Source organism: Homo sapiens, chromosome X (genome assembly GCF_000001405.40).
Source record: "Homo sapiens chromosome X, GRCh38.p14 Primary Assembly".
Lineage (NCBI taxonomy): Eukaryota > Metazoa > Chordata > Mammalia > Primates > Hominidae > Homo > Homo sapiens.
In genome coordinates this window covers 136,288,348-136,311,857 of record NC_000023.11, presented here as the reverse complement: position 1 = coordinate 136,311,857, position 23,510 = coordinate 136,288,348, and the positions used below count along the sequence as shown (strand labels likewise).

Sequence of the window (23,510 nt, the reverse complement as noted above, 5' to 3'; positions counted from 1 at the left end):
TTTTTTAAAAAAAGAAAAGATAGGGCTTTTCCTGAACCCTGGCTACACAAACACCTTTCAGAAGAAGAATTTCTTTACCTCTACACTCCTACTGTGTCCTGACTGCCCTGGCCTAGTTTGTCTCTACAGCCTAAGGACTGATTTTCTGACATGGCTCTGGGGCTTTCCTGTGTCAAAACAATTCCTAGTCAGGTCGTCTCTGCATATGTGACAACTTCTCAGGAAAGTTGATTCCGGCCCAGATTGACTAATTGCCTATCCAATACAGGAGCAAAAGTTACTGACTGTAGAGGCTAGGTGCCTCAAAAACCCAGCCTCCCACCTCAAGAATGTCACAAAACCCCAGCCTCCTGCCTCAAGAATGCTCCAGAACACGTTACACTCTTTCAGCCAGCAAAGCCTGTCCTACTCCACTTGGGGTGTGAGCGTGTGTGTGTGTGTGTGTGTGTGTGTGTGTGTGTGTACATGGTATGAGCAAGACCTTAGGACAACTACTATAGCCCTATGTCTTCAACCCAAACCTACCCATATCCATTACACAGCCAATAGCCAGCACCATTAAGAGGAAAATCATGTTATGGACTGAATGTTTGTTTCCCCCTCCCCTAAAATCCTATGCTGAAGCCCCAACCTCTAATGTGTTGGTATTTGAAGGTGTGGCCTTTGGAAAGTAATTAGGTTTACATGAGGGCATGAAGGTGGAGCCCCTATGGTGGGATTAGTGCCCTTATAGAAGAGGAAGAAAGCAGAGCTCTCTTGCTCTCTCTCAGCCTTGCGAGGACACAGAGAGAAGGCAGCTGTCTACAAGCCAGGAAGAGGGCCCTCACCAAGAATTGAATCATCTGGCACCTTGATCTTGAACCCTCAGCCTCCAGAAACATGAGAAATAAATGCCCATGGTTTAAATCATCCAATCTATAGTATTTTGTTATGGCATCCTGAGCAGACTAAGACAGAGAACTAGGAAACCGAGTCCCACATACAGCCTAAGTCCTAGGCCCTCTTCTCTCATTTATGCCTTATTTTTTACCTCCTGCTCCATTCTGCAACTATTCAGCTCTTGACCTCAGTCTTCATCTCTTCTTTCTGGCTCTGCTCTCACCCCATAGACTTTAATACAGATTTGGCTTCTCCTTCTCAACCCTTGATATTCTTCTATGGAGACAGTTTTGCTCCACACTCTGGCTCCTCCCAGTTAGAGCATCTCTGAGTCACCCTCCACTTAATCTGGCCTTAATCTCTCCCCAATAATGACCCTCACAGTTGGGAGGCTGGTGACTCATCTGGAGCCTGAAGGGAACTGAACCTGAGTTATGCCGTTGTTTCCAAGGACAGGGTCTTTTTTTTCCAAGAAAAAAGTAATGAATTTCTCGGCAATCAAAGAACAATTATAATTCAATGTTTGATAACCTACAAAAAAAACTTGTTTGACTCATGAATTTGAGACTTAAACAGTCTGGAAAACCTTGTGACTGCTTTAAATTGACCTCTGCAGGTTGAGGACCTGCACATCTATCATAATTTTCACTGACCATTATAAAAATTAGCCGGGCATGGTGGCAGACGCCTGTAATCCCAGCTACTCAGGAGGCTGAGGCAGGAGAATTGCTTGAATCTGGGAGGCAGAAGTTGCAGTGAGCCAAGATTGCGTCACTGCACTCCAGCCTGGGCAACAGAGTGAGACTCTGTCTCAAAATAATAATAATAATAACAATAATAATAATTTTCACTGAGTGGTGACATTCCTCGCAAACCCATGCAAACTTTTCAGTACCACACACTCTTCACTTTTTATTCCATGACTACACTAGATTCCCATATTCCACTATTCTAGATTGCTCTATACCATGCCCTGTAGCCCTTCACAAAAACCAATGGAGTTTGTGTCATATACCCCACCACCATACAGATGTTGAAAATTTTCATCATTTCAAATTGCATGAATTCATTAAATCAGCACATATGAACCAAGTGCCTAAACTGTGTGTCAAGGCCTGTGTTGGATGCTTTGGATAAAGAAATTGGGAAAATACAGTTTCTTGCCCTTGAGGAAACAGGTAGAGGAAAAATAAATCAACTTTTTAGCAGGTAGGCCAGGCCAGGTGACAAAGTTGCCACTGTACCCCGTAGGCCCCATTTCAATCTCTATTATAAGAAACATGGTTTCCTATCAGGCTCTGCATGCAGCAAGAAGCCAGTGTTTGCTCTTGATGGCAATGATGATTTGGTATTTTTGCAGATTAGCTCTTACGCTTGAGGACCGTTCAAATTAAACACAGGTCAATTTCATCAGGCGTTGTCACTCACTGGCATTTATGACCTTTTAGCTAAGTACTTATGTGCTAAATAAGCAATGCTACAAACTGAATTTACTTAATGTGGACAAGATTGCAGTTTACCAAGACCTTCTCCTGAAGTCTCCAAATTACCAGCTACTTCAGTGAATTGTCTTAATTATCTACTGTAAAATAGAGACAAATTATTTTCATTCCTGTCATAGAGTCTAGGGAAGGTCTGGGTGCTTCCAGAATATATGCCCATTGCTTTATGAATCTGTTACCAGCTGTTTGCATGCCTCAGTTTCCCCATCTGTATTCTATGATTCTTGCCATATACATATAATGGAGACAGAAAGATGATATCACAATGCTTCAGACAGCTTTAAATAAAGCATTACGGAGGAGAGGAAACAGTCCAAAAGAAAACCCAAATCTTCTGTTAGGTGTGCATTAGCCGCCAAATGGCATTTCAGAGTTGCTTTAAGAAATGTCAAAGGTAGTAGTCCAAGCTACTGCCTTCTTGAGGCCAGCTCTCTATCAGTAGTACAGAATGATGAATGAATTAATTCACTTACTGATGCTTCAGCTTCTTCTGTAGCCATATTGACCAAAAGGTGACCATTAAGAGGCAGCCCAGCAAATCTCCATTGGTAGTATTTTTCAAATGGTTTATTTCTATAACCTACTATACATGAGACATTGAAAGAGATAATAAGAATACATTTTCTTACCTGAGAGAAAGATAAAACTCGACATGAGAATCAATCCATAAAGCTTCTGATATATGATGTGTTCTTTCATTGTCTAAGTCTGTGTTTAAAAAGTCAAAAATATGCCCAGCTCAGATATTCAGAAAATACAATTTCTAAGCGTATGTGACCACACTTCTCCTTTGCATACCACCTAAGGGTTTTTTCCTATTGCTTAAAGTCATGTCAGCCAACCACATGATAGGCATTTACCAGAGATACCCAGCCTGGCTGAAACCTCACTGATGGATTTATCTATATACTAGCTCAATAAATTTTATTGAATCCCTTCTATGTGCTGGACACTGTGTTGCTCCCTGGGAATACAGTGCTGAGAAGACAAGACACACATCTCTGCCATCATAGGACAGTTAGCCCTGTGGGGAGGACAGACATTAAATGCATAATTACAAAATGTGAGGCCAGGAGCTGTAGCTCATGCCTGTAATCCCAGCACTTTGGGAGGCCGAAGCGGGTGGATCACCTGAAGTCAGGAGTTTGCAACCAGCCTGGCCAACATGGTGAAACCCCATCTCTACTAAAAATACCAAAAAAAAAATTATCTGGGCATGCTGGCGGGCACCTGTAATCCCAGCTACTTGGGAGGCTGAGGCAGGAGAATTCCTTGGACCTGGGAGGCGGAGGTTGCAGTGAGCCGAGATTGCGCCACTGCGCTCCAACCTGGGCAACAAGTGAAAACTCTGTCTCAAAAACAAACAAACAAAAAACCAAAATGTGATATATTCAACCCTAATGCACAAACTTCAATTCAACTACTTGTAGTTATAATGATCCTAAATTTCTTGAAGGAATGTTATGCAAGAAGACCTTGTTGACAAAAGTAACTCATCAAATCATTTGTATTTTTAAAACAGATCTGTTTAGAGAAATCTAATCACCATTTCATTATGTTCACCCAGCTTCTCTCCTTAATTAATTGTAACTATAGTGTCTTATGTGGAAAATGCACTTAAAACCCTCTTTTCTCCAAACAAAATGGTGTTAAAACTGCAAATCCTACTGAAACATGTTACAGAAAATTGGCAGTAGGGTGCTGATGGGCATTTCTGATTTTAAATGAAATATACTTCTGAATGATTTACTACTGATTTAAACATTTCTTTTTCTATAGGATAATGCAACGTATTGTATTTCTTTCTACCTCCAAGTGGGATTTGGAATGAATAGACCCACTTTACATTTAATGTAACAGAAGCCAATTAGGAAGTCAAATGAATCTTGAGCTTGCTATGAATGCCAGCCATTAATCAGGCTCTTCATATTTACCAAGGATTCTACCACCATTCTCATTAGAATAATAAGGGAATTTGTATGAGTTGGATGGATTTTCTAAACTATGAGCTTAGAAGTAAGGGGGTGTCTAAATCTTTCATGACTTGCAAAATGAAATGCAGCTTAAATTTATAGTGCTATAAGAGGACTAGGCTGAGAATCAGTAACTGGCTGTGAGGCCATACATATTTTTGTTCCTTAATTTCCCTGGGACTCAGTTTCCTTATCTGTAAAAATGGAGATAATAATCTGCATATTTCTCAGAGCTGCTCTTGAAGAGGATCAAATGAGATGATATTTCGAAGGCAATTTTCAAAGCATAAAGTGCTATAGAAATGGATATGATTGCTATCTATAAAATGGGATTTTCAGCAGCAAGTAATCCAATTTATATTTTTCTTCCATTTCCCCTAAACTTTTATAACAACTTCAAGGTATGTTTCAGAAACTTACCTGGTGCCCAATAAATAAATCATGGGACATTTACACAACAGAATACTATGCAACCATTAAAAGGAATAAAGGCTGGGCATGGTGGCTCATGCCTGTAATCACAGCACTTTCAGAGGCTGAGGCAGCTGGGTCACTTGAGGCCAGGAGCTCGAAACCAGCCTAGGCAACATGGTGAAACCCTGTCTCTACTAAAAATACAAAATTAGCCGGGCATGGTGGCGCATGCCTATAATTCTAGCTACTTGAGAGGCTGAGGTATGAGAATCACTTGAATCTGGGAGACAGACAATGCAGTAAGCTGTGTTCATGCCACTGCACTCCAGCCAGGGCGACAGAGCGAGATTCTGTCTCCAAAAAAAAAAAAAAAAAGGAATAAGGTAAGTCTATATATAAGGCATGAAAAGGTGGGTTGAGGAAAGGGGATGGGGCATGAGGAATTTTCCATACTGTTCTGTACTGTCTGGTTATTTTACAAAGATTATAAATTAGTTACATACTTTTAAAAATCAAAGGAAAGGAGAAAGGAAGAAAGGGAGAGAGAGAGGAAGGTAAGGAAGATAGGAAGGGGAGGAAAGAGATAGGAAGGAAAAATGGGAATTAAATGTTTCCTTTATACTTCCTGTGATTCTGTACTGTTTGCTTTTACAATGAGCATACATTACTTTCATAATTTTGAAAAAACATAAAAGGAAGGAAGGAGGAAAAGTAAAGAAAGAGGAAAAGAGAAAGAAAGGGTGAGGATTAAAGACTTGAATTTTATACCTCACACAATTTCAAGCAATTTGGTTATTTCATGATGCGTATTTCTTAATTTTGTGGTTCAGAAAAATTTAAGGGAAAGAAGGAGAGAGGGGGAAAGAGGGAAAGAAGGAAGGAAAGGAAAGAGGGAGGGAAGGAGGAAGGGAGGAAGAGAAACACTTACCTGAGAACTGGACTCTTTTAACTTCCCACCCTCAAATGACCAGATCTTGTCTCTAAATTCCTATGTTTGATGTGAAATGAAAGAAGTACTAAACAGGAGACTCATTTTCTGCTGTCCATGCCTCAGTCACCTTCTTTTCTGCATCAAACCAGCCTCTCTGCTCTTAGCTTTATGGGGCTTATTGATCCGGGTAGATCCTCTTTTTGCGGCTTGTAGCACGTCATGGGGCTGCTCTCCTGAGCATAAAATCAGCATGGGCAAAGTTCTCAGATTATTACAACCCTGCAATAACCCATTAATTTGAGGGCTCTTTCCCAGTTTTCACTAAGGATTATTTTCAGTTCCTAGTTGATTATTGCTTTAATTAAATTGGATATATTAAAAGGGTACTTGTTTACTTGACTAAGGCTCATTTCACTTTACTAAGAAAGTGGGGAGGAGGAGGTGTAGTGTTCAGAACTATGAGCAGAAAGCAAAGGCCAAAGAGGCATGAACATATTCACATCTTACTCCATCTGTAAGGTGAAGCCAGCTATTTACCCTCACTGGACATTTATTCTTCAAGTCGCCTTGAAAGTAAATAGATTTATTGAACTGGCTTTATGTTCGTCTCAAGAAGGGGATGTTGTTTTTGTCCCAGAAGGTGTCATTACAGCCCCTTAGGGGTGACAGAAATACCACCAAAATCCCGTGGAGGATTCAGAGATGATCCCTGTCAGCCTCTGAACTTTACAGGTGAGGCCCCTGGGGTCCCAAGGGTAGAATGACTCATCCAAAGTCATAGAGCTTGTGAAAGGTAAAGCAGGAGCTAGAACCAAGGTGTCCTGACTACCAAACCAGTGCATTTTCCTCTTCATCTCATATCTTCAACAGAAAATTCAGTCTAATAGGAGGCTGAGTCGACCCAGCTTAAGGCCAGGATTCTTCACAGGGGAATGGAGAAGGAGGAGGTGTATTGGAATAATCCATGATTCACCCCAAAACCCACAAACTGTTATCAGAGTAGTGAATAAGAACCTAGGCTTTGTGGAAAGACAGGCTTGAGTTTGAGTCCCACCTGTGTGACTTGTGGCTAGTTCCCTAACTTCTCTGGAGCCCCCAGTGTCCTCATTTGTAAAATGCTGACCATGGAACTCACCTCATATTGCTGTGAAGATTACATAACACACAGTATGTAAAGTGCTTGGCCCAGCGCCTAGCACCAGGTTCCAGCACCACTGCTTCTGTCAAGGACTCCACTGCTTCTTCTTTCCAGTAGGCACAAGGCTTAGGTTTTGTGACCTGTCCCCAACGTGGGGTCACACAGCCTACAAGAAGATGTGGAGCCATTACCAAGAAACATATTGACACTTCCCTGGCATGTGTTTATATTTCACACCATGCCTGCTCATTGGTCTGTCTCCCTCACAACACTAAGCTCTGGTAGGGCAGGAACTCTATGTTCTCCAGTGGTTCGCATGCTGCCTGGCACATAGAGGGCGCTCAATCAATACTTCATAAACTATGCCTTTCTCCCCTACTAGAGTGTAAGCTTCCTGAGGACAGGGAAACACATCCTGTTCTTTCTGTGCCCTGCCCCAGGAGTTAGCACAGTGCCTGACACATAGTAGGTGCTTAATTAATGTTTGCTGAAATGAAGAAAAGAATTTAGAGGAGAATTATTTATATATACTTAGATATGTCATCAAATATCTCTGGAAAAGGACCCTGGTAAGAATAGTTGCTTCTAGAGATGGAAACTGAGGGGTTTTGGGTGGGAGGAAACCTCAGTTTTCACTGAACATGCTTTTGTACGGTAAGAATTGTAATCATTTGCATGTGTTCTTTTTTTTCAAAGAAAAACACTATGTTTTGTTAAAAATCCAACATAGCACAAATGAAATAATTGACTAGAAAATTAAATTTGTACCAAAAAAAGAAATTGGAACTCTTTTGTCAGGAAAACAATTGTCACCTGGGAGGGCTTCAACGGGTATCTTCCATTCCCTGGAAGGTTATGAGGAGAATGTTGACCATCTGCTCTCCATATCTACAGAGAAGTAGGAAATTGGCTGAAATTGCAGTCTGAGATGTGAGATAGATATAAATAAGTCATTATTGACAATAGGAATTGATAAGCACCAGAAAAGGCTATCACGGGATGTTATGAGCCATCCATGCCTGGAAACTCAAAGGCCTAGATAGCCATATGGCTCTGCTGATTTACTTGTCCTCCCACAGAGAGGGCTGAGCTGATTGACTTGTTGCAACTCTGTCCCTGTTTCTAACACTAGAAAAGACCCTTAATCTGTTGAAGGTCCAAGCCATCTTCATTCCCTCTCCCTTTCCTGGTGTGAGCATCCCACCAGGCCAATTGGTGGGGAATAGCAAGCCAGCTATTGAATTTGGGGCTCAACCATAGAAACAGCAAAAGGGTCCAATGCTGGAGGAAAAAATCATCTATGCTGACAACTCCTTAAGAGATTTTGAAGGACAATTTTACTTACATTTGATTGCCAACTTAAAAACTACCACCCAACTACCAATGATTGCCTGCTCATTGTCATTCCCATGCATTCCTTTATACTTTCACTACATATGTGGGCATTTCTTAACAGTGTGTAGTATTATTTTGCATAATGATACTACATGTTTTTAAACATCACATAAATTTGCCTCCCTCCCTCCTTTCTTTCTTTCTGTCTGTCTGTCTGTCTGTCTGTCTTTCCTTTGAGACAGAGTCTGGCTGTTGCCCATTCTGGAATACATTGGCGCAATCAAGGTTCACTGCAGCCTCCACCTCCCAGGCTCAAGCAATCCTCCCACCTCAGCCTCCAGAGTAGCTGTGACCACAGGCATCCACCACCACGCCTGGCTAATTTTTGTAGTTTTTGTAGAGATAGCATCTTGCTATATTGCCCATATGGTCTCAAATTCCTGCCTCAAGCAATCCTCCCACCTCAGCCTCCAGAGTAGCTGGGACCACAGGCATCCACCACCACACCTTGCTAATTTTTGTATTTTTTGTAGAGATAGAATCTTGCTATATTGCCCATATGGTTTCAGATTCCTGGCCTCAAGCAACCGTCTCACCTTGGCCTCCCAAAGTGCCAGAATAACAGCTGTGAGCCACTGCACCAGGCTCATGCTTTTAAACATACTATAAAAGGGGCCATACCACAAGAGAGACAGTACACCATAGTAGCTAATAAAACAGACTCTGAAGCCATACTACATGGTTTTCCTAATGTCTCACTGCCTCAGCTTCCTCATCTGCAACATGGAAATGATGATGATGATGATCATGAGTTAATGGTGATGATGGTATCCACCTCTATTATTTGTATAAAATCAATGAGATAATACATGTAAAGCACTTAAAACACTACCTGGTACGTAATAAATGCTTTATTAAGTATTAGCTATTATTACCTGTTCTTCTGCAACTTATTTTTCAAGCATAACAGTATTCATATAGTCCGCAATCATTTGAGTGCCCACCGTGTACAGGCAACACCCTGAGATGCTAAGGATTCAGCAGCAAACAAAACAGATAACTCTATCTCCCCTCAAAAAGTTTCTGTTTTAAAGTTGGAACAGGTCACATTAATAGATATGAGCCCAGTAAGCAAAGATTCTGCATTTAATGTTGCAGCTGGGGGAGGTAGAAAAGGCTCTAGGCGTTCACTTATGATTTGGCTCTCTGTTTGTCTGTTATTGGTGTATAAGAATGCTTGTGATTTTTGCACATTGATTTTGTATCCTGAGACTTTGCTGAAGTTGCTTATCAGCTTAAGGAGACTTCAGGCCAAATTATGAGTGAACTCCCATTCACAATCACTTCACAGAGAATAAAATACCTAGGAATACAACTTACAAGGAATGTGAAGGACCTCTTCAAGGAGAACCACAAACCATTGCTCAGTGAAATAAAAGAGGACACAAACAAATGGAAGAACATTCCATGCTCATGGGTAGGAAGAATCAATATTGTGAAAATGGCCATACTGCCCAAGGTAATTTATAGATTTAATGCCATCCACATAAAGCCACCAATGACTTTCTTCACAGAATTGGAAAAAAACTACTTTAAAGTTCACATGGAACCAAAAAAGAGCCCACATTGCCAAGTCAATCCTAAGCCAAAAGAACAAAGCTGGAGGCATCATGCTACCTGACTTCAAACTATACTACAAGGATACAGTAACTAAAACAGCATGGTGCTGGTACCAAAACAGAGATATACACCAATGGAACAGAACAGGGCCCTCAGAAATAATGCCACATATCTGCAACTATCTGATCTTTGACAAACCTGAGAAAAACAAGCAATGGGGAAAGGATTCCCTATTTAATAAACGGTGCTGGGAAAACTGGCTAGCCATATGGAGAAAGCTGAAACGGGATCCCTTCCTTACACCTTATACAAAAATCAATTCAAGATGGATTAAAGACTTAAATGTTAGACCTAAAACCATAAAAACCCTAGAAGAAAACCTAGGCAATACCATTCAGGACATAGGCATGGGTAAGGACTTCATGTCTAAAACAGCAATGGCAACAAAAGCCAAAATTGACAAATGGGATCTAATTAAATTAAAGGGCTTCTGCACAGCAAAAGAAACTACCATCAGAGTAAACAGGCAACTTACAGAATGAGAGAAAATTTTTACAATCTACCCATCTGACAAAGGGCTAATATCCAGAATCTACAAAGAACTCCAACAAATTTGCAAGAAAAAAACAAACAACCCCATCAAAAAGTGGGTGAAGGACATGAACAGACACTTCTCAAAAGAAGACATTTATGCAGCCAAAAGACACATGAAAAAATGTTCATCATCACTGGCCATCAGAGAAATGCAAATCAAAACCACAATGAGATACCATCTCACACCAGTTAGAATGGCGATCATTAAAAAGTCAGGAAACAACAGGTGCTGGAGAGGATGTGGAGAAATAGGAACACTTTTACACTGTTGGTGGGACTGTAAACTGGTTAAACCATTGTGGAAGACAGTGTGGCAATTCCTCAAGGATCTAGAACTAGAAATACCATTTGACCCAGCCACCCCATTACTGGGTATATACCCAAAGGATTATAAATCATGCTGCTATAAAGACACATGCACACATATGTTTATTGCAGCATTATTCACAATAGCAAAGACTTGGAACCAACCCAAATGTCCATCAGTGATAGACTGGATTAAGAAACTGTGGCACATATACACCATGGAATACTATGCAGCCGTAAAAAATGATGAGTTCATGTCCTTTGTAGGGACATGGATGAAGCTGGAAACCATCACTCTCAGCAAACTATCGCAGGGACATAAAACCAAACACCACATGTTCTCACTCATAGGTGGGAATTGAACAAGGAGAACGCTTGGACACAGGAAGGGGAACATCACACACCGGGGTCTGTTGTGGGGTGGGGGGAGTGTGGAGGGATAGCATTAGGAGATATACCTAATGTAAATAACGAGGTAATGGGTGCAGCACACCAACATGGCACATGTATACATATGTAACAAACCTGCACGTTGTGCACATGTACCGTAGAACTTAAAGTATAATAATAAAAAAAAAAGAAAGAAAAGAAAAGGCTCTAGGCGGGGCCAGGCATAGCAGCTCCAGCCCAGCAGCAGTGGCAGGGCAGCGGTGGCGGCAGTTCGCTGGAGGCCCGGCGCCCGCCGCAGCCCCTCCCCGGCGTGATGCATGGAGACCCGACCAGCCGCTCGACGCTGAGCCCGGAGTGGCCTCGGGCTCTGGCCTGCCCGGCCGCCCGAGGGCTGTGCGCGGCCCGCGGGCCTCCCGGCTCCCGCGGATCCGTGACCCGGCCGTCCTGTCCCAGGAAGTGGACGTCCTGAGCGCCACGGCTCACTCCCTGTGCAGTCGGGCCTGCCTGGCATGCAGAACCTAAAGGCAGATCCAGAAAGGTTTTTTTTGTTTTTTTTGTTTTTTCCCTCTCCCTTCAGGTGCACTAAGATAGGGAAGCTAAAAGCAGACTTGGGGTGTATGCTTGCAGCTGCAAAAAAATATGTATGGGAACAAACACACAACTATCCCTCCCAAATAAACACAACAAAGAAACACAGAAGCAGTCCAAGCCTCTAATAAACTCTCCCACCCTGAATCCTTAAAAACTCTTAGTCTGTAAAAAAGTGTGCCTCTAACCTAACTCAGCCAAAAGGCTCCTCTCGGGTTTGTTTTCTTTAAAATAAACCTGTCTTAACTGGCAAGCCACCTTTCATGTTTCTTTCCTCTTTCTTTAATTCTTGCAGTAGTGACCAAAATACATGAATTTTTCTTTCATGTATTTTTATTATTACCTAGAGGAAGATATATCCAATAAATGAAATTTAAAACTCTCTTCAAAAGATTGTATCAATACTTTCTTAATTATTTCAAGGAAGAGCCCTAAAATATATATATATAACCATAGTTATATTATGAATTCTGCTTTGTGGTGTTTTTTCTTTTTTGTTTTTTATTATTATACTTTAAGTTTTAGGGTACATGTGCACAACGTGCAGGTTTGTTACATATATATACACGTGCCATGTTGGTGTGCTGCACCCATTAACTCGTCATTTAACATTAGGTATATCTCCTAATGCTATCCCTCCACACTCCCCCCACCCCACAACAGGACCCGGTGTGTGATGTTCCCCTTCCTGTGTCCATGTGTTCTCATTGTTCAATTCCCACCTGTGAGTGAGAACATGCGGTGTTTGGTTTTTTGTCCTTGCGACAGTTTGCTGAGAATGATGGTTTCCAGCTTCATCCATGTCCCTACAAAGGACATGAACTCATCATTTTTTATGGCTGCATAGTATTCCATGGTGTATATGTGCCACAGTTTCTTAATCCAGTCTATCATTGATGGACATTTGGGTTGGTTCCAAGTCTTTGCTATTGTGAATAATGCTGCAATAAACATATGTGTGCATGTGTCTTTATAGCAGCATGATTTATAATCCTTTGGGTATATACCAAGAAATGGGATGGCTGGGTCAAATGGTATTTCTAATTCTAGATCCTTGAGGAATTGCCACACTGACTTCCACAATGGTTGAACTAGTTTACAGTCCCACCAACAGTGTAAAAGTGTTCCTATTTCTCCACATCCTCTCCAGCACCTGTTGTTTCCTGACTTTTTAATGATCGCCATTCTAACTGGTGTGAGATGGTATCTCATTGTGGTTTTGATTTGCATTTCTCTGATGGCCAGTGATGATGAGCATTTTTTCATGTGTCTTTTGGCTGCATAAATGTCTTCTTTTGAGAAGTGTCTGTTTATATCCTTTGCCCACTTGTTGGCAAGAGGTTGTTTTTTTCTTGTAAATTTGTTGGAGTTTATTGTAGATTCTGGATATTAGCCCTTTTGTCAGATGAGTAGATTGCAAAAATTTTCTCTCATTCTGTAAGTTGCCTGTGCACTCTGATGGTAGTTTCTTTTGCTGTGCAGAACCCCTTAGTTTAATTAGATCCCATTTGTCAATTTTGGCTTTTGTTGCCACTGCTTTTGGTGTTTTAGACATGAAGTCCTTACCCATGCCTATGTCCTGAATGGTATTGCCTAGGTTTTCTTCTAGGGTTTTTATGGTTTTAGGTCTAACATTTAAGTCTTTAATCCATCTTGAATTGATTTTTGTATAAGGTGTAAGGAAGGGATCCCATTTCAGCTTTCTCCATATGGCTAGCCAGTTTTCCCAGCACCATTTATTAAATAGGGAATCCTTTCCCCATTTCTTGTTTTTGTTAGGTTTGTCAAAGATCAGATAGTTGTAGATATGTGGCATTATCTCTGAGGGCCCTGTTCTGTTCCATTGGTGTATATCTCTGTTTTGGTACCAGTACCATGCTGTTTTGGTTACTGTATCCTTGTAGTATAGTTTTAAGTCAGGTAGCATGATGCCTCCAGCTTTGATCTTTTGGCTTAGGATTGACTTGGCAATGTGGGCTCTTTTTTGGTTCCGTATGAACTTTAAAGTAGTTTTTTCCAATTCTGTGAAGAAAGTTACTGGTAGCTTGATGAGGATGACATTGAATCTGTAAATTACCTTGGGGAGTATGGCCATTTTCACGATATTGATTCTTCCTACCTATGAGCATGGAATGTTCTTCCATTTGTTTGTATCCTCTTTTATTTCATTGAGCAGTGGTTTGTAGTTCTCCTTGAAGAGGTCCTTCACATTCCTTGTAAGTTGGATTCCTAGGTATTCTATTCTCTTTGAAGCAATTGTGAGTGGGAGTTCACTCATGATTGGAAGAAACGGATAAATTCCTCGACACATACACTCTCCCAAGACTAAACCAGGAAGAAGTTGAATCTCTGAATAGACCAATAACAGGCTCTGAAATTGAGGCAATAATTAATAGCTTACCAACCAAAAAAAGTCCAGGACCATACAGATTCACAGCCGCATTCTACCAGAGGTACAAGGAGGAGCTGGTACCATTCCTTCTGAAACTATTCCAATCAACATAAAAAGAGGGAATCCTCCCTAACTCATTTTATGAGGCCAGCATCATCCTGATACCAAAGCCTGGCAGAGACACAACAAAAAAAAGAGAATTTTAGACCAATATCCCTGATGAACATCGATGCAAAAATCCTCAATAAAATACTAGCAAACAGAATCCAGCAGCACATCAAAAAGCTTATCCACCATGATCAAGTGGGCTTCATCCCTGGGATGCAAGGCTGGTTCAACATATGCAAATCAATAAATGTAATCCAGCATATAAATAGAACCAACGACAAAAACCACATGATTATCTCAATAGATGCAGAAAAGGCCTTCGACAAAATTCAACACCCCTTCATGCTAAAAACTCTCAATAAATTAGGTATTGATGGGACGTATCTCAAAATAATAAGAGCTATTTATGACAAACCCACAGCCAATATCATACTGAATGGGCAAAAACTGGAAGCATTCCCTTTGAAAACTGGCACAAGACAGGGATGCCCTCTCTCACCACTCCTATTCAACATAGTGTTGGAAGTTCTGGCCAGGGCAATCAGGCAGGAGAAAGAAATAAAGGGTATTCAATTAGGAAAAGAGGAAGTCAAATTGTCCCTGTTTGCAGAGGACATGATTGTATATCTAGAAAACCCCATCATCTCAGCCCAAAATCTCCTTAAGCTGATAAGCAACTTCAGCAAAGTCTCAGGATACAAAATCAATGTGCAAAAATCATAAGCATTCTTATACACCAATAACAGCCAAGCAGAGAGCCAGAAAGTCTTTTTACAAAACTAGAGAACATTGGGAAGGGCTCCTTTGGCGAGGTGTTCTAAGGCATTGACAGTTGGACTCAGAAAGTGGTTGCCATAAAAATCATTGATCTGGAAGAAGCTGAAGATGAGATAGAGGACATTCAACAAGAAATCACAGTGTTGAGTCAGTGTGACAGTCCATACGTAACCAAATATTATGGATACATGAAGGATGTATGAAGGATACAAAAGTATGGATAATAATGGAATATCCTGATGGAGGCTCCACACTAGATCTGTTAGAACCTGGCCCGTTAGATGAAACCCAGATCATTACTATATTAAGAGAAATACTGAAAGGACTTGATTACCTCCATTCGGAGAAGAAAATCCATAGAGGTGTTAAAGCGGCCAACGTCCTGCTGTCTGAGCACTGCGAGGTGAAGCTGGTGGACTTTGGCATGGCTGGCCAACTGGCAGACACCCAGACCAAAAGGAACACTTTTGTGGGCACCCCGTTCTGGATAGCACCCGAGGTCATCAAACAGTCGGCCTATGACTCAAAGGCAGACATCTGGTCCCTGGGCATAACAACTATTTAACTTGCAAAAGGAGAACCACCTTATTCCAAGCTGCATCCCATGAAAGTTTTATTCCTTATTCCAAAGAACAACCCACCAACGTTGGAAGAAAACTACAGTAAACCCCTCAAGGAGTTTGTGGAGGCCTGTTTGAATAAAGAGCTGAGCTTTAGACCCACTGCTAAGGAGTTATTGAAGCACAAGTTTATACTACGCGATACAAAGAAAACTTCCTACTTGACCGAGCTCATCGACAGGTATAAGAGATGGAGGGCAAAGCAGAGCCAAGAAGACTCGAGCTCCGAGGATTCCAACTCGGAAACAGATGGCCAAGACTCAGTGGGGCAGCGATTCTGGGGACTGGATCTTCACAATCCAAGAAAAAGATCCCAAGAATCTTGAGAATGGAGCTCTTCAGCCATCGGATGTAGACAAATAAGATGAAAGACATCCCAAAGAGGCCTTTCTCTCAGTGTTTATCTACAATTATTTCTCCTCTGCTTGCAGAGTTGAAGAGCCAGGCGTGCGGAGGGAACTTGGGGTCCACTGAAGAGCTTCGAGGGGCCATCTACCTGGTGGAGGAGGTGTGCCCCCGCATCTCCGACACCATAGTGGGCCAGCTCCTGCAGCAGCTCCACAGATATTCTCTAAGTGGTGGAGAAACTTCATCCCACTGAAATTCCTTTGGCATTTGGGGTTTTGTTTTTCCTTTTTTTCTTCTTCATCTTCCTCCTTTTTAAAAGTCAGCAAGAGCCTTCGCTGACTCCACTGAAGAGGTGCGCCACCGGGGGCCACCCCAGTGCCGGGCATCTGTCCAGGGACACACACAGTCCTCGCTGTGCTGCAGCCAGATGAAGTCTCCCAGATGGGTGGGGAGGGTCAGCTCCTTCCAGCGATCATTTTATTTTATTACTTTTGTTTTTAATTTTAACCATAGTGCACATATTCAAGGAAAGTGTCTTTAAAAACTAAAACAAACCCTGAAATGTATATTTGGGATCATGATAAGGCAACTAAAGACATGAAACCTCAAGTATCCTGCTTTAAGTTGATAACTCCCTCTGGGAGCTGGGGAATTGCTCTGGAGGATGGGTGTACAGATTTGTATATAGTGTCATTTTTGCGGAGACCCTTTCAGTGTGCATAAGGAATCACTGTGTAAAAACTGGCCAAGTGCTTCTGTAGATAATGTCAGTGGAGTAAATATTCAACAGGCCAAAAAATATATATAAAGAAAAGTCTCTAACAGTTTTGGGGTTTTTGTGTTTCTATTTAGTTTTGGTTCATAAAATTAAAATTAATTAACTAAACAACTTTTAGAAATTATGTTCTACTGGATGTAGACAGACAATAAACAAACAAAAAAAAAAGATAAAGCATATAACATATTAGAAGGTGAAAAAAAGCCACAGAGGAAAGCAAAGTGGGAAAGGGATATAGAGATTTCTTGAAGGAGGGCGGGGAATGCAATTTTATTTTTATTTTCGGTCTGTGGCCCAGGCTGGAGTGCAGCAGTGCAGCAGCATGATCTCAGCTCATTGCAACCTCTGCCTCCTGAGTTCAAGTGATTTTCCTGCCTCAGCCTCCCGAGTAGCTGGGACTACAGGCATGCACCACCACATCTGGCTAATTTTTGTATTTTTAATAGAGATGGGGTTTCACCATGTTGGCCTTGCTGGTCTTGAACTCCTGACCTCAGGAGTTCCACCCATCTCATCCTCCCAAGGTGCTGGGATTACAGGCATGAGCCACTGCGTCCAGCCGGGAATGCAATTTTAAATAGGGTGATCTGTGATGTCCTCACTGAAAAGTGACGTTTGAACAAAGACCTGAAGGAAATGAGGGAATAAGCCATGGGGATACTTGAAGAAAGAGCGTTCTGGGCAGGAGGATATAACCTGAGCACTGCAGGGTGCTTGGAGCCTTTCTAAGGGCAGTACTGAGGTCAATGTGCCAGAAGCAGAGCAAGCTAAGGGGAAAACGGTGAGCGAAGACGTGAGAGAGGTGATAAAAAGCCAAATCACACAGGGGCTTGCAGGCTGTTTTAAGAACTTTGGTTTTACTCTGGAGAACAGGGAGCCATTGCAGGGTTTTAAAAAACTTATTTTGAAATAGCGTCAAACTTACAGAAGTGGTATAAGAATAGTACAAAGAACTCTTATTTATCCTTCGTCCAGATTCTGCAAATTGTTAACATTTTGCCACATTTGCCTTATTTCTCCTTACATTTATTTTTGAAGCATTTGAGTGTAAATTGGAGATATCCTGTCCCTTCATTCCAAATACTTTAGCAGGCATTTTCCTGAGAACAAGAGTAGTTTCTTACATAACAACTATCAAAATAAGGAAATTTACATTAATGCATTACTACTTCATATACAGTCCACATTCATATTTAGACAGCTGTCTCACTAATGTCCTTCATTGCATGTTCCCCTCTGATCCAGGTTCTAATGTAGATCCTGCTTTTAGTTGTCACGGTTTTTCAGTCTCCTTTAATCTAGAAATGTTCCTCAGCCTTTCTTTGACTTAAATAACATTGACATTTTTGAAGCATACAGGCTGGCTATTTTATAGAATATCCCTCAATTTGAGTTTGTCTAAGGTTTCCTCGTCACTCAGGTTATACTTTTTTGGCAGCACAGAAGTGATGTTGCATCATTCTCAGTGCATCACATCAGCACATGCACGATGTTACTTTGTCCCATCATTGAGGATATTAACTTTGATTACTTGGTTAAGGTAATGTTCACCACATTTCTCCACCACATTTCTCCCATTTGCAATTTATAAGTGATGTGTAAGAGATTTGTGGAGAAATGCTTTGAGCCTGTGTAAATATCCTGTTCCTCCTCAAAACTTCAACCTGCTGGGCACAGTGGCTCACACCTACAATCCCAGCACTTTGGGAGGCTAAGATGGGTGGATCGCTTGAGCTCGGGAGTTTGAAACCAGCCTAAGCAACATCATGAAACCCCATGTCTAGAAAAAATTAGCCAAGTGTGGTGGCACACGCCTGTGGCCCAGCTACTTGGGAGGTGAGGTGGGAGGATTGCTTGACCCAGGAGGTCAAGGCTGCAGTGAGCCAAGATCGTGCCACTGCACTTCAGCCTAGGTGACAGTGAGGCTCTGTCTCAAAAAAAAAAAAAAAAAACAAAAAAACTTCAACCAATTGTTTTACTATTCATTGTTAATTTTTACCTGATGGTTGTCAAATGGTGGTTTTCTACTTCCACCATTTTTCTAAATGTATTAGTCAGCTTTCTACTGAAAGGGAGAGTTTTTCCTTCTCTCATATTTATTCATTCATTTATATCAGTATGGACTCATGTATTTCTATTTTAATTAGTGAGTTACAATCTATTACTATTATTATGTTGATGTTGAATTTGTTCCAGATTTGTTTAATGGGAGCCCTTTCAAACTGGCTTCTGTGTCCTTTTGACATATATATACCTATGATTTTCTGAGCACTTTCTTACACTCTTGCACAAGATGTTTCATGTTGAATCTTGCATTTTTCCTTGCCTCATACCTAGAATCCACCATTTATCTAAGGACTCTGGTTCCTTTTAGAAGAAAATCGTGTCTAGAAACCAAGATTTGAGTAAAGCCAGAGTTTTGAGCAAAAAAATAACACGATAAGACATGTTTTAAAAAGATCACTTAGGCTGTTATGCTAAAAATTGACTCTAAGGTGACAAAGGAAAAAGCAGGAAGATGTACCTGTGTTAAAAGAGTAGATTTCTTTCTCTGCAATGCAAATCTGACCATGTGGCTTTTCTGCCAAAATTATTTGACAGATGAGACCACTTATAAAGTTAAAACCCTGTGGCATTGCAAGAAAAGCTCTTCTGTGATCTGGTCCCTTTTGGACTTCTCCACCTTCTTTTTCTTTTTCTTTCCTTTTTTTTTTTTTTTTTTTTGAGATTGAGTCTCACTCTGTCACCCAGGCTGGAGTGCAGTAGTACCATCTCGGCTCACTGCAACCTCCGCCTCCCAGGCTCAAGTAATTCTTTGCAAATGCTGCTCCTTTTGCCTGCCCCCCAACCCCTTGACCATCTCATCCTTCATGACAACACAATACTCTTTTTCCTTTGTAAAGCCTTCCTCGAGCAATTCCCTCCATTTGCATCCCACCCCAGGCATAAATTATTATTCGGGTCATTGTGTTATCACACATTTCATCATGGAAACATACTGCCTCTCCTTCAGTCTCCTTTCTGGAATACTAGGAGAGAAAAAATCACCTTCCAAGGTTCTTTTTATCCTGATATATCAAGGATGATTGGTTCTGTTGGCATGAGGCCAAAGGAAGTTCTGATTCACTACAGCCTCGCCCCATAACACAAGTGAAGCCCCAAGGCTGGAGGGCTGGAGTCCTTGACACAAAACAGGAGTAGCAGGGCTTCCAGGAGGGCAGAGGCCTGCTCAGATAACCCTGGATATATGGGTAGGCCAGACTTCAAAGGCACCTGGGACAGAGGGAAGACAGAGGCAGGCTTGTCTAACTAGAAGACATAACTCAGTTGAGTTTTGAGACTTCTATAAGAACATTCGCCTTCCCTGGCTGGGTGCAGTGGCTCACGTCTATAATCCCATCACTTTGGGAGGCTGAGGCAGGCGGATCACCTGAGGTCGGGAGTTCGAGACCAGCCTGGCCAACACTCTGTCTCTACGAAAAATAGAAAAAAAATTAGCTGGGCATGGTAGCGGGCGCCTGTATTCCCAGCTGCTAGGGAGGCTGAGGCAGGAGAATCACTTTAACCCAGAAGGCAGAGGTTGCAGTGAGCCAAGATCACGCCACTGCACTCCAGCCTGGGTGACAGAGCGAGACTCCATTTCAACAAAACAAAACAAACAAACAAAAAAGAACATTATCCTTCCCTTAGCGCCCTCCAAATCTTATCAAAACCCAACAATAGACTTCTTCCTCTTGTTATCTGCCAGTGAGCTAAGGTCATCCAAGTAGGTCACACCCTTCAAGCCAGCTAGAAAACTGTAAGGTGCCTTAAGTTAGTCCTCTTGAAGAGGTCTAGCTTTCCGAAACATTTCCTTCAGTGCCTTGGAGATGAATCTGATTAGCAGCCCTTGGCACCCATCAGAGTTCTCTAGTTTCATTGCCTTCCAGCCAAAGACTACCAGGAACACACCTGTAGCTGAACAAGTTGAGCTTATTACTTGTTGCAACAGGGCAAAACACACACCATGGGGCACCTCAGTAAGAGGGAGTTAGAAAAGACATATTACAGGATTTGGGCTTTGGTTGGGTGATTCAGGAGGGTTTAAAGAAGCAAGGGTTGGCCGGGCGCGGTGGCTCACGCCTGTAATCCCAGCACTTTGGGAGGCCGAGGCGGGCGGATCACGAGGTCAGGAGATCGAGACCATCCCGGCTAAAAACGGTGAAACCCCGTCTCTACTAAAAATACAAAAAATTAGCCGGGCGTAGTGGCGGGCGCCTGTAGTCCCAGCTACTTGGGAGGCTGAGGCAGGAGAATGGCGTGAACCCGGGAGGCAGAGCTTGCAGTGAGCCGAGATCCCGCCACTGCACTCCAGCCTGGGAGACAGAGCGAGACTCCGTCTCAAAAAAAAAAAAAAAAAAAAAAAAAAAAGAAGCAAGGGTTCTGGCTGGGTGCAGTGGCTCATGCCTGTAATTCCAGCACTTTGGGAGGCCGAAGCCGGCGGATCACAAGGTCAGGAGTTCTAGACAAGCCTGGCCAACAGGGTGAAACCATGTTTCTACTAAAAATACAAAAATTAGCCAGGCATGGTGGTGCGTGCCTGTAGTCCCAGCTACTCGGGAGGCTGAGGCAGGAGAATCGCTTGAATCCAGGAGGCAGAGGTTGTGGTGAGCCGAGATGATGCCACTTCACTCCAGCCTGGGCAACAGAATGAAATTCTGCCTAAAAAAAAAAAAAAAAAAAAAAAAAAAAAAAGAAGAAGAAGAAGAAAGGGTTCGCTGTAGATTCAGTGCTATCAGAAAGTGAGGACAAGTTTATCATTGGGTATATCAGAAAATCCTATCTCTAGGGAGGACAAACTGAGCAAGACTGAAGCAGTAATTGGAAAGAAAGCAGCAGTCACTCATCTTATCCAGGAGAAGGAGATGTTTGGCATTTTGTGGGCTGCACAGTGATCTTGTTTTTGTCTGTGCTTAGACTTAATTATGAAATGGCCTTGTTTTGTCTTACTTTATCATGATCTTAGAGTCAACTTATCTGGCACTGATATTCTGTAAGATCCTTAATATCCAATAGGAGAATAACTTGGTCTAGCTGTAAGTGCCAGGCCAGCTGGTAGCAATGCTAAGGCCTAGCTGTGAGCATCTCACTAGTTCCCAGATGTGAGGGGCTGTTTCTTTCTGCTTCTTTTGGTCAAAGGCAGACAAAGTGAGGCTGCTGGATGTTACTCCATGATACCCAGATTTCTCTATTGCGGATCAGGAGCTGGCTTAGAGAATGTAGTCTCTACTTGGACTGAGGTTAGTCCCTCCAGCTTGCTGCATCTGATATGAAAATGGCTGTATGGTAAAAAATTCAATATAAAAGGACTCTGGGAAGATAGCATCAGCAATCTTAATTGTAATTAACAAAAGCAGTTATCAGAAATGGATATCATGGCCAGGCGTGGTGGTTCACACCTGTAACCCCAGCACTTTGGGAGGCTGAGGCAGGCCAATCACTTGAGGTCAGGAGTTTGAGACAAGCCTGGCCAACATGGCAAGACCCTGTCTCCACTAAAAATACAAAAAAAAAAAAAAAAAAAAAAAAACTAGCCAGGTGTGTTGGCAGGCTCCTGTAATCCCAGCTATTAGAGAGACTGAGGTAGGAGAATTGCTTGAACCCGGGAAGTGGAGGTTGCAGTGAGCCAAGATGGCGCCACTGCACTCTAGTCTGGGCAACAGAGGGGTAGTCCGTCAAAAAAAAAAAAAAAAGGGAAAAGAAACAGATGTCGGTAAAAGGTCTCAAAGTCTCAAAGTTATGGGCCTAGATTATGAAACCCAGGCAATGAAAATGTATCCCAGAATGCAACCAGGTATATCTGAGACAACCAGGTGGCTTTTTCTTTTAGCATACTCACAAACAGTTCTGCTTTCCCTGTAGTACTTACATAGGTGAAACGAGTAATACTTGCTACAACACAAATTCCCTCTTGGTTGGAAGAGGAAATTAAGGGCTATGTGATTGCCCATGACAACTCTAGTTAATGAATTCTGAGTAGTTTCTTGGGCTTTCAGAGCAGGAGTGTGTCATTTATGACATTTACTAGTGTCAGAGACAAGTTTCAGACCACTGTTCTAGTTGTATTACACCCACTATGGGATTTGCAGTTTCCAGTGCAAGCATAAAGAGGGAATCCAGGCTAGGAGCGGTGGTTCATGCTTGTAATTCCAGCCCTTTGGGAGACCGAGGCAGGTGGATCACCTGAAGTCAGGAGGTCTAGATCAGCCTGGCCAACATGGTGAAACCCTGTCTCTACTAAAAATACAAAAATTAGCCAGGTGTGGTGGCTCACGCCTGTAATCCCAGTTACTCGGGAGGCTGAGGCAGGAGAATTGCTTGAATCGAGGAAGCAGAGGTTGCAGTGAGTTGAGATCACACCACTGCACTCCAGCCTGGGTGATAGAGTGAGACTCAGTCTCAAAAAAAAAAAAAAAAAAAGAGGGAATCCATTATCCCACTTGGAAATTCCCTTGAATAACCTGTGTTTGCCTCAGTTTGGAGGCTTCTGGGTGTTCTCTGGGACACATAGTCACAGAAAGGAGGGTAGTTTTAAATCTCTAACGATTACCCTAAAAACACAGGATAAGGTGGTGTGTGGCAGGAAGTATAAGGTCTTCTTATATTAAAAAGGTATGTAAGGAGATATATAAGCAGTAAGACCTGAGTGGAGCACAGATTATATTTGGAGTATAACTATCATTTACTGCAAAAGGAGTGAGCCAATTTGTAGCTTCTGAGATAGACAAGTCCTTTTAGTATAATTTTAGTATAATTAAACAGCTCCTGCAAAGAAGGT

General features: G+C 42.1%; 1 protein-coding gene and 1 pseudogene across 5 annotated transcripts in view; one reads left to right on the top strand and one right to left on the bottom strand.

Annotated features, from left to right (window-relative positions):
- The window catches only part of ADGRG4 (adhesion G protein-coupled receptor G4), a 115,928-nt gene extending 105,033 nt beyond the window's left edge, over window positions 1–10,895 (bottom strand). For 3 of the 5 annotated variants that reach the window (XM_011531269.3, XM_047441830.1, XM_047441831.1), the window contains exons 1-2: window positions 5,697–5,841; window positions 3,011–3,089 (exon numbers count right to left, since the gene is read on the bottom strand). In XM_011531269.3, coding sequence (XP_011529571.1) covers window positions 3,011–3,080 — 70 coding nt within the window. In that variant the 5' untranslated portion in view covers window positions 3,081–3,089; window positions 5,697–5,841. Of the gene's footprint in view, window positions 1–2,854; window positions 2,954–3,010; window positions 3,090–5,696; window positions 5,842–6,834; window positions 7,004–7,650; window positions 7,726–10,857 lie in introns of those variants that run through there. The other 2 variants (NM_153834.4, XM_011531271.3) reach the window with 2 other exon arrangements.
- Window positions 14,925–16,365, top strand: STK24P1 (serine/threonine kinase 24 pseudogene 1; annotated as a pseudogene).
- Window positions 16,366–23,510: the final 7,145 nt, after the last annotated feature.